Here is a 15,516-nt window from a genome sequence, read left to right on the forward strand (position 1 = left end):
GCGATTAAGTCACAAAGAAGGGTGTTCATTAAAGCGTTGTAATAGCCAAAACCTGCACATAACTTAAATGGCCACCAATAGAGGAACATGATGTAGCCATTATAAAGAACATGGCACATTTATATGTACTGACATTAGAATATATCTTCAATTTATTAAGGGAACTAGAGATGCAGAACAATTTACAAAATATAATTCTATGCTGGGAAAAATGATCTGTGCAACCTGCTTTCCTGCAACTTTACAAAACATTTTGTTGTTGAGACAGTATCTTGCTCTAACACCCAGGCTGGAGTGCAGTGGCACAATTTTGGCTCACTGCAACCTCTGCCTCCTGGGCTCAAGCAATTCTCCCACCTCAGCCTCCCAAGTATCTTGAGACCACAGGTATACACCACCACACCTGGCAAACTTCTTTATTTTTTGTAGAGACGGGGTCTTGCTATGTTACCCAGACTGGTTTCCAACTCCTGAGCTCAAGCAGTCCTCCTGGCTTGGCCTCCCAAAGTGCTGGGATTACAGGCAGGAACCACCCTGCTGCCAAGTTAAAAAAAATTTTGTAAACGGATTAAAGAGTTTGGAAATATATACAAACCTCTGTAGTGGTTCTCTGGATAGAAAAATCAGCTTAAGAAAATGAAGTTTCACAGTATATGTAATTCAATTTTTAGAAAGTATGCATCATGTATGTTTAATTACATTTAAAAGATTTTTTATGATAAAATATTCTAGAATCCCAAGAAAATCTGAAATTGGTAGAGACTGTTTATACGTCTTATTTATATTTTACTAATTTATATTCATAAAAGTAACTTAGGCCAGGCACAGTGGCTCATGCCTGTAATCCCAGCACTTTGGGAGGCTGAGGCGGGCGGATCACGAGTTCAGGAGATCGAGACCATCCTAACACGGTGAAATCCCGTCTCTACTAAAAACACAAAACATTAGCCGGGTGCGGTGGCAGGCGCTTGTAGTCCCAGCTACTTGGGGGCTAAGGCAGGAGAATGGAGTGAACCCGGGAGGTGGAGCTTGCAGTGAGCCGAGATAGCGCCACTGCAGTCCGGCCTGGGCGACAGAGCGAGACTCCGTCTCAAAGAAAAAAGGCAACTTAATATCCAACAGTGGAGGATTCTTTTACTGGTACAGTCACGTTATAGACTACTATACAGCCACTGGGCCAGGTGTGGTGGCTCACACCTGTAAATCAAGCACTTTGGGAGGCTGGGCAGGCAGATCACTTGAGGTCAGGAATTCGAGACCAACATGGTGAAACCTCGTCTCCACTAAAAATACAAAAATTAGCCAGGCGTGGTGTCAGGTGCCTGTAATCCCAGCTACTCAAGAGGCCAAGGCAGGAGAATTGCTTGAACCCGGAAGGTGGAGGGTGCAGTGAGCTGAGATGGCGCCACTGCATTCCAGCCTGGGCAACAGAGCGAGACTCCATCTCAAAAAAAGAAAAAAAAAGAGAATATTATACAGCCAGTATAAATCATGCTGTAATTTTTACTAAAATGGAAAGTTCTCAGTACGTCAAGTGAAAATGAAAGGTTACAACATATTATGTGCAGTTTGCTTGGCATTAGTTATTACCTTTGGTAGGATTACAGGTGATTTTTCTCCTTTTTCAGTCTCTTCTTTTACACATTTACTAAAGTTTTTCTAATTTCTTACAATAATTATGTAATCAGGGGAAAATGCCATTAAAATATATGCTTATAGCTAACTCTAAGCTTGCTTTAGAGCTTGGGTATTACGTAACCATGATGCGAATGACTGGTACAAATCCAAGTAACACTTCAATACGTTTGTAAGGGATTATAATTGAAAAGTCACCATTCCCCTGGAACCTTAATAATAAAATGTTAAAGACATTAGTTTATCAAAAGAATTTATTAGAAAATATTACACACTACATACATATTTATTTAAGAGTATAATTTCAGTAGACAGCACTCCAACTTCATAATACAAACAATATCTCATGGACCCTGGGGCAATCACTGTGCTTCTGAAGCTACATCTTTTGGATGGAACATTCCAGCAGTACACACTGTGGCCATTTAAAGGAAGGTAAGAGAAAAAAATGTGATAATTACCAAAACAAATTTTAAAAAGCACAAAACTTTTGGAATGTTAATGGATAACTACTATTAGTCTCAAAATTCTAGGCATTTCTATAAAACATTGGTCAATGTGACTAGTAAGTTAACGGGACCAAGGTTTCAAAGATCAATACTGAACCTTGATAAATAATAAGAGGAAATGTAACTCCACAAAATGTTTCTGATTAAGTTTGTGCCCATGCAAAATTAACATAAATTTCTTAACTCAAGAATGAGGAATATTAAAGCAATGTATTTTTTCAACATAAAGCATGCATTTTCTAATACATTCTTAAACATTTCAAAATTTTAAAAGTTCGAATTCTAATCAAGTAGCTATTAATGCAGTCTAACCAGTGCCCCAAATCAGACATGGAACACACACTTGTTACTGTCACGGAAATAATTCATGGGAGTGCTACTAAAGATATATGAGACTTCAACTCTTGACCACATCACTTTTTCTCCAAAACTTTAGAACTTGTTTGCAAAAGCTAAATGGTATAAAACACATTTTAAAATGTCACCCAATTCTCAAATGTCACTGAAAGAAAATGCAGGAAAAGTATGTATTGTGTGATTAATCAGCTTAGGCTTAACTCAAAATACTTTCAATGTTCACAAAATTGTTTCTAGAGTTCTAATCTAAAACAACTAAGGAGGTGTGCCTTGATATTCTGAAACACTGTCTTAATACTTTATTAGAAGAAATATGCTTGAAATTTCTTTACCATAATCTAAACGCAAACTTTAAAAATATATACCAGTAGAATACCATATTACAAATGCCCAGAAATGTAGAATAAAGGTCAAAAACTGCTTGGAAATATTTTTATGATTACACTCATAACAACAAAGCTTATGAACTAGCACAATCATTATGGGACCAACATTTCAAAATATTTTGCCTATCAAAGCTAGCACCAGGAAAAGTATTATGCACATAAAATTGAGAAACAGATAATCTTTACTTTAGAAAAGCACAGTTCTACAGAGTATTGCTCTGGCTAAATAGTTTAGCTAGTAAAAAGGTCAGTTTATCTCACTGAGGCATGTATCTCCTTGGATCTATTAACTTATCTGAAGAACTTTCCAGGTACTTGGTATGTACTGAAAATTCTTACTGGAATCAGTTTATCATGGAGAAAACCTACTGTTCTTTCAAGATGCCAGTTAAAATAATGGCACAATAAACATTTTAAACTTACCTTTTATAAAAACTGAGATATTCTAGTATTAAAAAGAGAAAAAAAAAAAAACCCAAATCCCTAATCCCTGAAAGGCTAACCAGGACTCCATTATTTAAATTTCCCCTCTGTTTCTAAAACACAGGTTTTACTGTCTAGAATTTTGCAACATGGCTAATGGCTACCACCTGGTCACCAAATTAACACTTCATTCATTGTAAAGCATTTGGGGATTTTCAAGTGTGAAAATATTTCATCAGTGATTAGATAAACAACAACTTTACGCCAGTGCCATGAGTCTTGTAATTCTTAGCCCCAAGGAAGGGAGGATAACAGCCTAACAGCAATTCTCGAATTGGCACAAATAATTTATCGTCTGCAACGGGTAGAAGAAGATACTATGAAAGAACATAATTTCTACAAAGTCAACACTTTTTTTTTTCTTTTTTTTGAGACGGAGATTTGCTCCTGTTGCCCAGGCTGGAGTGCAATGGCATGGTCTCGGCTCACTGCAATCCCCGCCTCCCGGGTTCAACTGATTCTCCTGCCTCAGCCTCTCGCATAGCTGGGATTACAGGCGCCCACCACCACGCCTGGCTAATTTTTGTATTTTTAGTAGAGACGGGATTTCACCATGTTGGCCAGGCTGGTCTCGAACTCCTGACCTCAGGTGATCCGCCACCTCGGCCTCCCAAAGTGCTGGGATTACAGGCGTGAGCCATCATGCCCGGCCGAAAGTCAACAATTTTTCCAAATCTTTTTCCTCAAAGTCTTCAACAAAGACTTTGAACTGCCAAAGTTGTAATCTAGTAAGTCAAACTGCTTATCTCAATTAGGGGTAAACAAAGGCACAAAAGAAAAACAAGCAGCATAACCTTTATTTGGTCATACAATAGGTGAAGAGTGTCTCAATGTTTTGAACACTAAATTTTACTCGTGATAATTTTTTTTCTATCTAGGCAATTTATTCAGATATGTGCTTTAAAAATACACATTAGGAACTTTGCAACTGATATGTTCTATTTAATATTAGAAACATTTTTCATGGTAATACATTATTTAACTTTCTATAATTAGAGGGAAAAAATCATAAAGATCATACTTTACATTTTAACCTGACAGAATAAATGCATTATATATATCTCTTTGAAAACCAGTGCACTTAGAAGTTTCTAATTTATGCACTCCATTGCCCTAATCAAAAAGCTATACATTTTCCAGTATCCACACTATAACACAGTCCTAGTAAAGATGCACATTCCTTTAAACCCTTTACTTTCCCTTGAATTTTGTGGGGGAGGGTGGAGGGGAAGGAAGGATACAGAAGTTGCAGTGCAGACCTATATTTATTTAGAACAAAACATCATATCCTATGTTAAAAAAATAATTTTATCAAAACCAAATTTCAATCACAGTTATGTATGATTTTCAGTTAATGGTACATGTTGAAATTGCACTTTGCAGATATCCTGATAATGTCCTTGACAGCGTTCCCCATTTCAGCCTATGTTTTTTTCAGTAGACACAGGTTCTTCCAGAGTTTTCTTTTGGCTCCCCTTCCGTGAATATTTGTATTTGTCTACATAGGCTTTAACCAGATTTGCCACTTTAGTAGAATTTACTTCTCCACTCTTACTATGACAAACCTAAGAAAAAAGGGGTGGGGGGTAAACTTTTTTCATGCTTAAAGGGATTAAAGCCAAAATAGAAAGCTTTGTGAAAAACAACCCCAAAGAGATAACCAGACTTATTTTCATGTTTCATTATCTCACACAAACTAATCAAAAGGCAAAAAAGTAGACAGGAATTAGTAGGAGCTAGCTTTTATTATTTTAATTAAACTTCAGCATTCATTTATTAAAACAGAGGTGGTTCAAAACAACGTGCACATACTCCACTAAAGCCATAACTTACTTTATCTACTGCTTTCCGTACAATTTCTTTATATTCTTCCTTGGTGATATCTTTATTTTGGTAAAATGGCTTGATGGCCAATTTTACCTCTTGTGCTGCTTTTTCTTGAATTTGCAATTTCTGATGAGAAGAAAATGTATAATTTATTATTTGCCAGTCATACTGCTCTCACAAAATCCCAAACAAGAAATTGAAAATACTTCATATTTACAATAAGAGACTCTCCAACTATTAACGTGACAAATATAAAACAGTTTATTTACTAAAACATATCAAACATTTCTAAAAACAATTATAAAATATTACCAGTAATTTACTGGACATCAACACATCTAGAGAGAATCCTTCAAATAATAATGGCATTTAGACAGCCAATAAGAAATTCCCTTCACCACTCATACAATAAAAAGCTGATATTTTTTCTCCTTTATCATATACAGAATTATGAAGGTTGCTCTCAACCTTGAACTTGCCTTGTCTGTCTTCGAGCTATCTGCGCTGGCTTCCACTGCAACACTTACTTTGCTTTCTGCCAATTTTACAGCAGCATTAGAGGCTTTGCTGTGACTTGATGACGAAGTATTACCAGAACTTGGTCCCTGAACCATTCCCGTATTTCCTGGGGCTGCTGTCGGAGCAGGCAAAACTGGTGTACTCATGTTATTACTTACATGAGAAGAACTAGGAATACCCTGTTTTAAAGAGTTATCATCAGTTAATGAATTACTTGTACTCGATAGAAGTCTTTTAGTGATGCATTAGAAATAACATTAAAAAACACAAAGCAAACCAACCTTAGTACTAAAGAAAAATGCATATTTCAGGTAATTATATCTAAAGGGCCCTTTAAAGAAAAATGAGTAACATTCTTAAACGGGGCCTTATTTAGATATGTCAAGATGACTTTTAAATTATATATATGTATTGTAACATTTTGACAGCAATACTAAACACAAGGAGGAGAATAGCATTTAAAGAATTATATCTTTCCTGCAAGGATCTTTAGGAATATTAACAAATATTAAAGTGCCCTCACTTTAAAGCCTGGAAAAAATAAGGCAGTAAAGTCAAATGGCTTGTAGTAAGTTGACAGGAGAAAAAAGGCTTGCAGTAAGTTGACAGGAGAAAAAGATTAAGATCCCAAATACTAAAATCCAATTTCCCTATTCCTTCAACTCTATCTTACTGTCAGGATTCTATTTATTTTATTTTATTTTAATTAATTATTTATTTATTTAGAGACGAAGTCTCACTCTGTCTCCCAGGCTGGAGTGCAGTGGCGCGATCTTGGCTCACTGCAATCTCCGACTACCAGGTTCAAGTGATTCTTGAGCCTCAGCCTCCGAGTAGCTGGGATTACAGGAATGCATCACCGCGCCTGGCTAATTTTTGTATTTTTTTTTTTCTAGACAGAGTCTTGCTCTGTCACCCAGGCTGGAGTGCAGTGGTGCAATCTCGGCTCACTGCAACCTCCGCCTCCTGGGTTCAAGCAATTCTCCTGCCTCAACCTCCTTAGTAGCTGGGATTACAGGCGCTTGCCACCACACCCGGCTAATTTTTGTATTTTTAGTAGAGGCAGGGTTTCACCATGTTGGCCAGGCTGATCCTGACCTCGTGATTCACCCACCTGGGCCTCACAAGGTGCTGGGATAACAGGCGTGAGCCACCATGCCCGGCCTAGGATTCTAAAATTTTTAAAAGGCAGTCATAAAATTATAAGCAACAAATTGTTTGCAAATTATTCAAATTTTCTATGTCTCACAGAGGCACTTCTCCTTTCTTTTTAGCATGATAAATTCATGAAAATGAAACACAGATGGTAATGGATAATAAACAGCTTTATCCAGTGTTTGTCTGAACAAGACAATAAAAGCTTCATCACAGTACTTAATCACTAGTTCCCACCGTCCCCATATACCCCCTAAACAGTGCAAAACAGGGGAAAAATGTAAAGCACCCACCACTCGATTCTAATTTGGCTTATAATTTGGTTTACTTAATATGAATAAAAAAATCCTGTTCAGATATAAGTAACAGCATATATGTAGCTTGGATTTGGTAATAAGTATTTAATTAATTTTCTAATTTGGGAGTTGGGGGGTTTTGAGAAGGATAGTGAAAGAGGGATTATGAAGGTTTACCATAACTGAAATCAAATAAACAATTGTTTTTGAATGCCAGGATGCCTTTTTTTGAACATCTGTCATGAACAGCTAAATGTTTACAATGGCTATATTGATTAAACTTGAGTTGCTAAAAACATACCTGCAATTGCTTTCCATCTGGTTGTGAAGCAATGTAGTTGACTTGTTGGGATGGTGGGGGAGGGGGTGGTGGTGGTGGTAGTCCCTGAGATACACTGGTAGGAGTGGCTACCTGCATGAGGGGCACTCCTGTGTGGAGATGCAAGGGTAGCTGAGGATGAATGTTAAATGGATTGCGTTGGATGTTCATCAAAGGAGCATGAACACCCACTGGATATGGGAAGATATTCATAGGCTGGTGTTGTGCATTCATTTGTTGCTGCATTACATTCATTTGCGGTTGCATCATATTTATAGGTAGCTGAGAACCATCAACTTGCTGGTTTGTTTGGTCTTTTAGGCTAGAATCTATCAAAAGAAAAAAAGCTTGTGAAAAAAATCATGTTATAAATCTCTTTAGACAGAGAAACAAAGAACCACTGGTTACAGTAAAATTAAATAGCAATTAATAGGCTCAGTATACCAATACCAATCTCCAATTGCTTAATTTAATCCTGTCATTTCTAAATAATGTGGACTGACTTTCTAATGAAAGAAAACATTTGGCGAGGCACGGTGGCTCAAGCCTGTAATCCCAGCACTTTGGGAGGCCAAGGCGGGCAGATCACCTGAGGTCAGGTGTTCGAGAGCAGCCTGGCCAACATGGTGAAACCCCGTCTCTACTAAAAAAATACAAAAATTAGCCAGGCGTGGTGGTGAGCGCCTGTAATCCCAGCTAGTCAGGAGGCTGGAGAATTGCTTGAACCCAGGAGGTGGAGGTTGCAGTGAGCAAAGATCATGCCATTGCACTCCAGCCTGGGCAACAACAGAGAAACTCCATCTCAAAAAACAAAACGAACATTCACCTGAAAATATTTTTAAGAATAAGTTCATGCAAAACATACATCAACAATCAGTAGCTCAAGAAACTGACTAGTTAAAAAAAAAAATCACATAAAATTTAACTACTAAATTATAAGGTTATTCAATTTTTACATCTTCAACAGCCTTTATCTTGCAATGTTCTTAACAAGAAAAAAAACAAGGAAATATAAATCTTTACTATTAAAACAATGGCTTATTTTATTTGTATGAGAACAATTATCAAAAAAATTAAAAGTGTACATATCTGAAATAAACAAATTAGAGGTTAAATCCTGCATAGGAATATCCCAAACTCTTCTATTGTAGCAAACAGTGCTGAAAATATTTAAGTCTTTGGCAAGGTTTGGAGCAGAGGTAGCATTAATAATATACTTATGTAGATAAACGTACGTGTATATATATTTATATAATGCTAAGTGACTTGTAAACAACTAAGGTTCAGCTTATTATAAAAACTACAAATAAGGATCATTTCAACTCATACAAATAACATATTAAATTTATAATTCTTCAAATAAAACAGTATCAATAAACCAACAAGAATACATTACCCTGTCCAGATGTTTCCTCCTCTTGTTTCATCCATCCAGACTGTGGACCTGAAGAATTTCTGCCTCGTCGTGAGTAGTAGTTTTGTACATCTGCTGGCAAAGTCTTTCTCACGGCCCAGCTGGATGCAGATGTCCATCCAGATCTATCTGCTGGTGTATCAAATGAGAACTCCTGTTCACTTTTTCGCTTATAGGATTGCTGTTCCACAAACTTGAAAGATTCACTCCCTGAACTGTTTGAATTCCCTGAGAGGGGTTTTCGATTTTGCCACCGATTTTCATTCTGATCTTTATAGGCAAAACTACTTCTGTAAGTGCCTCTGCCACGGTTGCCTCTGCCTCTACCACGGTTAGATACCCAACCAGAACCAAAGTTTTTATTCCAAGAATTTCCTGAATTTTCATTTCTATTTTCTTCCCAATGAGACTCTTTCAACTTTTCTGGATTTCTGGTTCTTGGATCAGGCCCAGAGTTTATTTTTTCTGTTATCCAATTGGGACAGTCATTTCTATGTTTGTCAGCAGAATTTGGATCATCAGCATCTAGATGGATGTCATTTTTTTCTTTTCTTGTATTTTCATTCTGTTTCTCTGGGTCATTCTTTCTGTACCGATCATTTCCTCGTGGACATCTCCAACCATCATTTGCCCATCTTCCCTTCCACCGGGGAGAGTAACTATCTCTGTCAATTCTACCAAATGATGAACTCTTACTTTTTGTTCTACATCTTGAGGGGGACCTAGAATGAGATCTGGACCTAGACCACTTTCTGGTTCTCCTTTCTCTCTCTCTCCTCTGCCCATCTCTATCACTTTCTCGTTCTCTGCTCTGGGACCTGGATTTTTCTCCTGGGGAAGAATCTTTCACTCTTGGCTGAGATCTTTTGTTCTCTCTAGAAGTTTCTCTTCTTGGGGACAGTGATTCAGATCTTCTGCTTTCCCTAGTAGTATCCCTTTTTGGAGACCGAGACTGAGATTGCCTCCTTTCTCTTGCAATATCCTTTTTTGGGGACTGAGAACGGGATTTTTTCCGGCCTCTGGCTGACTCATTCTTAGGAGATGGTGATTGAGACTTCCTGCTTTCTTTCCCAGTTTCTCTTCTGGGAGATGGAGACTGGGGCCGCTTCTTTTCTTGTGGAGTGTCTTTGTTGGGTGACCAAGTTGTAGATGGAGAATGAAATCTAGATCTTCGAGTACGAGGCTTTTTGGTTTTATCTATGGTATCTTTTGGGCTTTCAGATGGTTGAGAAACAGTTTCAACCTTTTCATCCGCAAGATCAGAAGACGGCATATTATTTTCAGAACAGTGTGTCACAGAATTTTCATTCATTTGTTTAAGATCAGCATTTACAGATGGTTCAACTTCAGATTCATTTTGGTCACTGCAAAATGAATCACACTCCATAGGTATCATTTCATTGTTGTCCTCACTAAAATGCTTCTGAATCTGTTCAATGTGTGTTTTAGGCAACTCTGTAGATCTAGGATGTTCGGTCAGCGATTCATTCTTTTCTTCTAAAGATTTTTCCAATTTGGTGTTCAGAAGATTATTTTTTAGTAAGTTATTTTCAGAGTCTTGAATATTATTGAAATCTTCATTCCCAAAAGTATCACATGTTGCAATTATTTCTACATCTTCAGTTTCAACATGCCCAAGCAATTGAACCTCTGGGCTCTTAACAGATTGTCTGTCCACTGTCTGTATAATTTCACCCTCAGAAGATTCTAACTTGGGGCTCTCTATAAGCTCCTCTGTTTTTAGTGTAAAATCTTTATGTTCAGTAATTTCTACTAGGGAACTCTCTGTTATTTTTTCTTCATTAACCACTGACTCTACATTCTCAGATAAGTCACTTAGGGGACAAGATACAGGTTGGTACACTTTGCTTTCAGATGTTAAACATGTAGGAAAATCATTTGGAAGATGAACTGTACATACATCTGTCTTTACCTCTGATTGTGAAAGTCCAGATATCTGGTCTTGCTTTTCCAATGGATCACCTCCTTTTTCAAGAATATTTTCAGAAATCTCACTTTCCAAACACAAAACATTAGCCTCTATACCTGTATTCTCGAGTTTTTTAACTTCCCCTTCCTCACCAACTAGCACAGGAAGATCTTGAGCACAAGACTCAGAAGATGAAGATCCTACTCTTTCCTCTGTATCATAATTTGCAGTATGCTTCTCACTTTCTTCTATTTGCTCATTGCAACTTTTCAAGCAATTAGCAGACTGGTTTTCTACATGAGTCTGCACAGTACAAATGTTACTACTGTCTACATCTGGTTGGTGCTCTTTTTCTAACACAGGTGATGTGTCAGATTCTGCTGTTTCTTCATCTACTGAATCATTGGAAGATGATTTTTCAGGGGCAGCTACAGAGCTCCGAAGTTTCTTTTTCAGTAAAGGTGGTTTTCTTCCTCTTCTTACAGACTTCCGTTTTGGAGCCTGTCTTGTTTGCTTTTCTGACTCAGCTGAAGAGGGAACACTTAAAGATGGATTACTGTTACCTGGGGCATCACACCCAGAATTGTCTGATATTGGGGATCTCTGAGACTGACTGGCTGTTTCAGCTCTTGTGTTACGTGTAGACCTCCTTGTAGGAGTTGTCATTGCAGGTTTTCGTCTTGATCCTCTGGTATTTGATGTACCAGAAGTTTGCTTCTTTTCTTCCCCTTCTTGAGTATGTGCTAATGCATATCCCTTGCAAGAAGTACCTAATAATATTTAAAAAAAAAAAAAAAGTAAAAAATATGTTTTAAGAAATAGTAATTTGGCTTTAGCTAATTTTAGCATAAAATAGTCTGCAACAGAGTGAAACTAAATACTTATAAATAAAACTATTAATAAATGCATAGCTACTAACATCTGAGTAATATGACTTATTCATCAACTTTCTTAATGACACTGAAATAAGTTATAACTAGATTTGGTCCAAATGGGCAATTTTATAGAGAAAAAAAAAAAGGAAAATAACTTTTGGTCTTGTAACTGCTACTTGCTTAATTTTTTTTTTTTTTGGAGACAGGGTCTCACTCTGTCACCCAGGCTGGAGTGCAATGGCGTGATCACTGGAGCAATCATCGCGCACAGAAGCCTCAACCTCCCAGGCTCAAGCGATCCTCCCACCTCAGCCTCCCAGGTAGCTGGGACTACAGGCATGCACTACCATGCCCAGCTAATTTTTGTATTTTTAATAGAGACAGGGTTTTGCCATGTTGCCCAAGCTGGTCTCAAACTCCTGAGTTCAAGTGATCTGCCTGCCTCGGCCTCCCAAACTGCTGGGAATACAGGCGTGAGCTACTGTGCCCGGCCATGATCTGGGATTATCTAAGCAAAAGGAGAGAGAAAATGGTCAAGTTATCCATGAATTAATAAAGACTCAAACTATTTATTAATAATTAATTAACAGATGTTACTTCTAAAGATCTATGGTTTGGATATGAAAGCCTGAAACAGAAAGGAGACTTCTAATCAGTTCCTCAAAGCCTCCAAGTTGTAATTTCAAAAACTACAACAGAGTTTCTAGTTGGAATATTTTTTATTTTTAAAACTGACTAACAGATAAAACTGTGTTTCTCATGTACAACATGATGTTTTGAAGTACATATACATTGTGGAATGACCAAATCTAGCTACTTAATATATGCACTACCTCACATAGTTATAATTTGTTTAGTGAGAACACTTTACGTCCACTCTCTAGCAATTTTCAAAAATACAATATAGTCGACCCTTTAACAACACAGGGATTAGGAGCACCAACCCCCAACACAGTCAAAAATTGAAACAGTTTTTACTCCCCAAAACTTAACTGTTATTCACCAGACTCCTTACTGATAACAGTGAATTAATATATTTTTTATGTTATGTGTTACATACTGTATTCTTACAATAAAAGAAGCTAAAGAAAAGGTTATTACAAAAATCATAAGAGAAAATACATTATAATGCTGTACTGTATTTATTGATACCCTAAGTTTATATCATTTGTTTACAAGATGAATCATCTGTCTGAAATGGCAGGCAACTGCAGCTATAGATCTCAATCTGTTCCTATCAAGGAATTAAACTTCTTCTTATAAAGCCATAATTTTGCTTCTTGGGAGCACTTCCTACATCACTAATGGCACTTATGTGGGTCCCAAAGGTGTTACTCAAGGTTTACAGTATTGCACTAAACACTATGAAAAATATGCATGCACTGCAAGAGATCACTTTTTACTGTGATATGCAATCTATTAGAAAGACAAATGCTCACATGGAGATGATTACATTAAACCAGGTTTTGCGTTGTGTTTTGTTTTTTTTTTGTTTTTTTTTTTTTTTGAGACAGGCTGTTGTTCTGTTGCACAGGCTGGAGTGCAGTGGTGCAATCATGGCTCATTGTAGCCTCAACCTCCCAGACATTCACAACACTTGAGTACACCAGAATAGCAACAGGTGGCGGCCACAAAAATTGTTACACTGGTAAATACGTACTATATTTAATTTTACACAGCTATGATTTAATACTGTATCTTTACAGCTGTTTACATTTCTTATGACTGCAAATGGTGGAACCATGTGGTTTGAGTGTGTATATGTTTTGATAAATTTTAACTTGTTATCATAGATTTGTATATATTTTATGGTAGTAAATGATGAAATAGACTAGTACCTACATATATTTTATACATTAATGACATACCTTTTTCTTAATTTTTTTCACTATTTATAGGTTATGCGATTTTTCTGTTTTTTCAGTGTTGCAAATCTCCAAACATTTTCCGATATATTTATTTTTTAAAATTCATGTATAATGTCGCCACCCAGTTAAAACCTATGTTGTTCAAGGGTCAACTGTATTATTATAGTCATCACGTTTCACAATTGATCTTTAGAACTTATTCTATCCAGCTGAAACTGTATCCTCTGACCAACAACCTCCACCCCACCACACCTACCCCACCCCCTAATCTACAATCTAGTTCTACGAGATCAACTTTTTTAGATTCCACATATAAGTGAGATCATGTGGTTATGTGCCTTTCTGTGCCTGCCTTATTCACTTAGCCTAATGTCCTCCAGGTTCATCCACGTTGGCACAAACAAGATTTCCTTCTTTTTGTGGCAGAATAATATTCCATTGTGTGTGTATATAGATATATGGAGAGACTATGTATCTATCTATCTATATATACATACACTCTAGTTGAAGCAATTCTAAAGTTAAGTCATTGTCCAAATATTTATAGACGTATTTACAAGTTACTATGCCTTACTTTACAGCTTTTCTAAGTCATCAAACACACATTTTTATGAAACTGGAAGAAACTAATAATAATAATTTTTAAAATAGAAAATGATTTCACAAACTTTACCAAAATGTTCGAAAGATATGGTACTTGTTGGAAAAATAGTTCTTGGCAACACAGAAGAAATGAGAGGAAGGACTTCTGTTTCAACATTCCAGGGTATAAAACCAATTCTGAAAACATAATAAAGACATTTTTGTTTAAATGGTTTAAAAAATTAAACCACCAATTTAAAAGTATTAATTCTCTAAATCAGGTTAGCAATATTAAAATACAGTGCTTAAATGTTTTTTGCCCAAATAGCTAAAAATGTAAATTCAAGGTTACTCCTTGTCTAAAGATAGCTACCAATTGGCTAAAATTCAGAAAAAAACCTTTAAAAGTATGTTTTTCTGATAAATTCATGGCAAAGAAAAGATGAAAGCAACTTAACACAGATGTTTCTCTTTGAAATAATTTATGTAGTATTTTGTCAAGAATTTTTCCAGCTTTCATCATGTTCTTCACTACTCTAAAAAAATAAAATCAACTTTGAGGTGTAATTCAACATAAAATGCAGACTTTAAGCGTACATTTGCTAACTTTTTACCAAAGTGTGTGCATATATATATATATATGTCTGTGTTAACCACCACCCCAATCAAGAAAGAGAACATTTCTGCCCCCCTAGAAAGTGTCCTCACACTCCTTTGTATCCTTCTCCCTCCTTTCCAGGCAACCAAGGAACTGATTTATACCACTATGTTATATTCTAAAATTCCTCGACCTGGTGATGGCTCTTCAAAGTTCTCAGTGTCCCTAGAGACCTGTTAAGACCCCCTCCTTCAAATTTTCTCCATTCAAACCCAAACCACTTCTTGGCTTTCTTTTTCTTATTCATTTAGGTCTCCTAACAAAAGACTATCTGATTCAATATAAGGTAAGATTCTGGAGTAGGAGAAGCATGGGAAAAAAAATGTAACTTGTACATGTATAAAAATATGTAACTATAAGGAAGGGTTTCATAGTACATACATCTGGAATTCTTCATCTGACTTCTATTATGTTCTGCCATCATTCTTAGAGGGTGAATGCCCTATACAGAACTATATTATAGTGACATATAAAATAAAGTCATAATATGTTATAGGAATTAATATAAAACTCAGGCAGCGACCCTAATCTTTACTTAGGAGCTTGATTTAAGTATATATTATTTATCTAGCACCATCTTAGTAGCTTCAAGAATAAACTAAGAAATAAAAAACTAGATTACAGAAAGTCATGAGTGTCAGGGTAGAGTAGGCACTTGATCAAATAGTTATTTAGAAAAACATTTTTGAGGAGAGGAATATGG

General features: G+C 36.5%; 1 protein-coding gene across 11 annotated transcripts in view; it reads right to left on the reverse strand.

The window, feature by feature from the left end:
- Positions 1-1,871: 1,871 nt before the first annotated feature.
- SCAF11 (SR-related CTD associated factor 11) overlaps positions 1,872-15,516 on the reverse strand; it is a 72,929-nt gene continuing 59,284 nt past the window's right edge. For 6 of the 11 annotated variants that reach the window (XM_005269230.3, XM_047429879.1, NM_004719.3 and 3 more), the window contains 6 exons: positions 14,247-14,353; positions 8,883-11,600; positions 7,469-7,815; positions 5,677-5,895; positions 5,204-5,323; positions 1,872-4,935 (listed from right to left, as the gene is read on the reverse strand). In XM_005269230.3, the coding sequence (XP_005269287.3) occupies positions 4,789-4,935; positions 5,204-5,323; positions 5,677-5,895; positions 7,469-7,815; positions 8,883-11,600; positions 14,247-14,353 (3,658 nt within the window). In that variant the 3' untranslated portion in view covers positions 1,872-4,788. The remainder of the gene's footprint in view (positions 4,936-5,203; positions 5,324-5,676; positions 5,896-7,468; positions 7,816-8,882; positions 11,601-14,246; positions 14,354-15,516) is intronic. The other 5 variants (XM_047429878.1, XM_047429882.1, XM_047429881.1 and 2 more) reach the window with 3 other exon arrangements.

This window comes from Homo sapiens, chromosome 12, assembly GCF_000001405.40.
Source record: "Homo sapiens chromosome 12, GRCh38.p14 Primary Assembly".
NCBI lineage: Eukaryota > Metazoa > Chordata > Mammalia > Primates > Hominidae > Homo > Homo sapiens.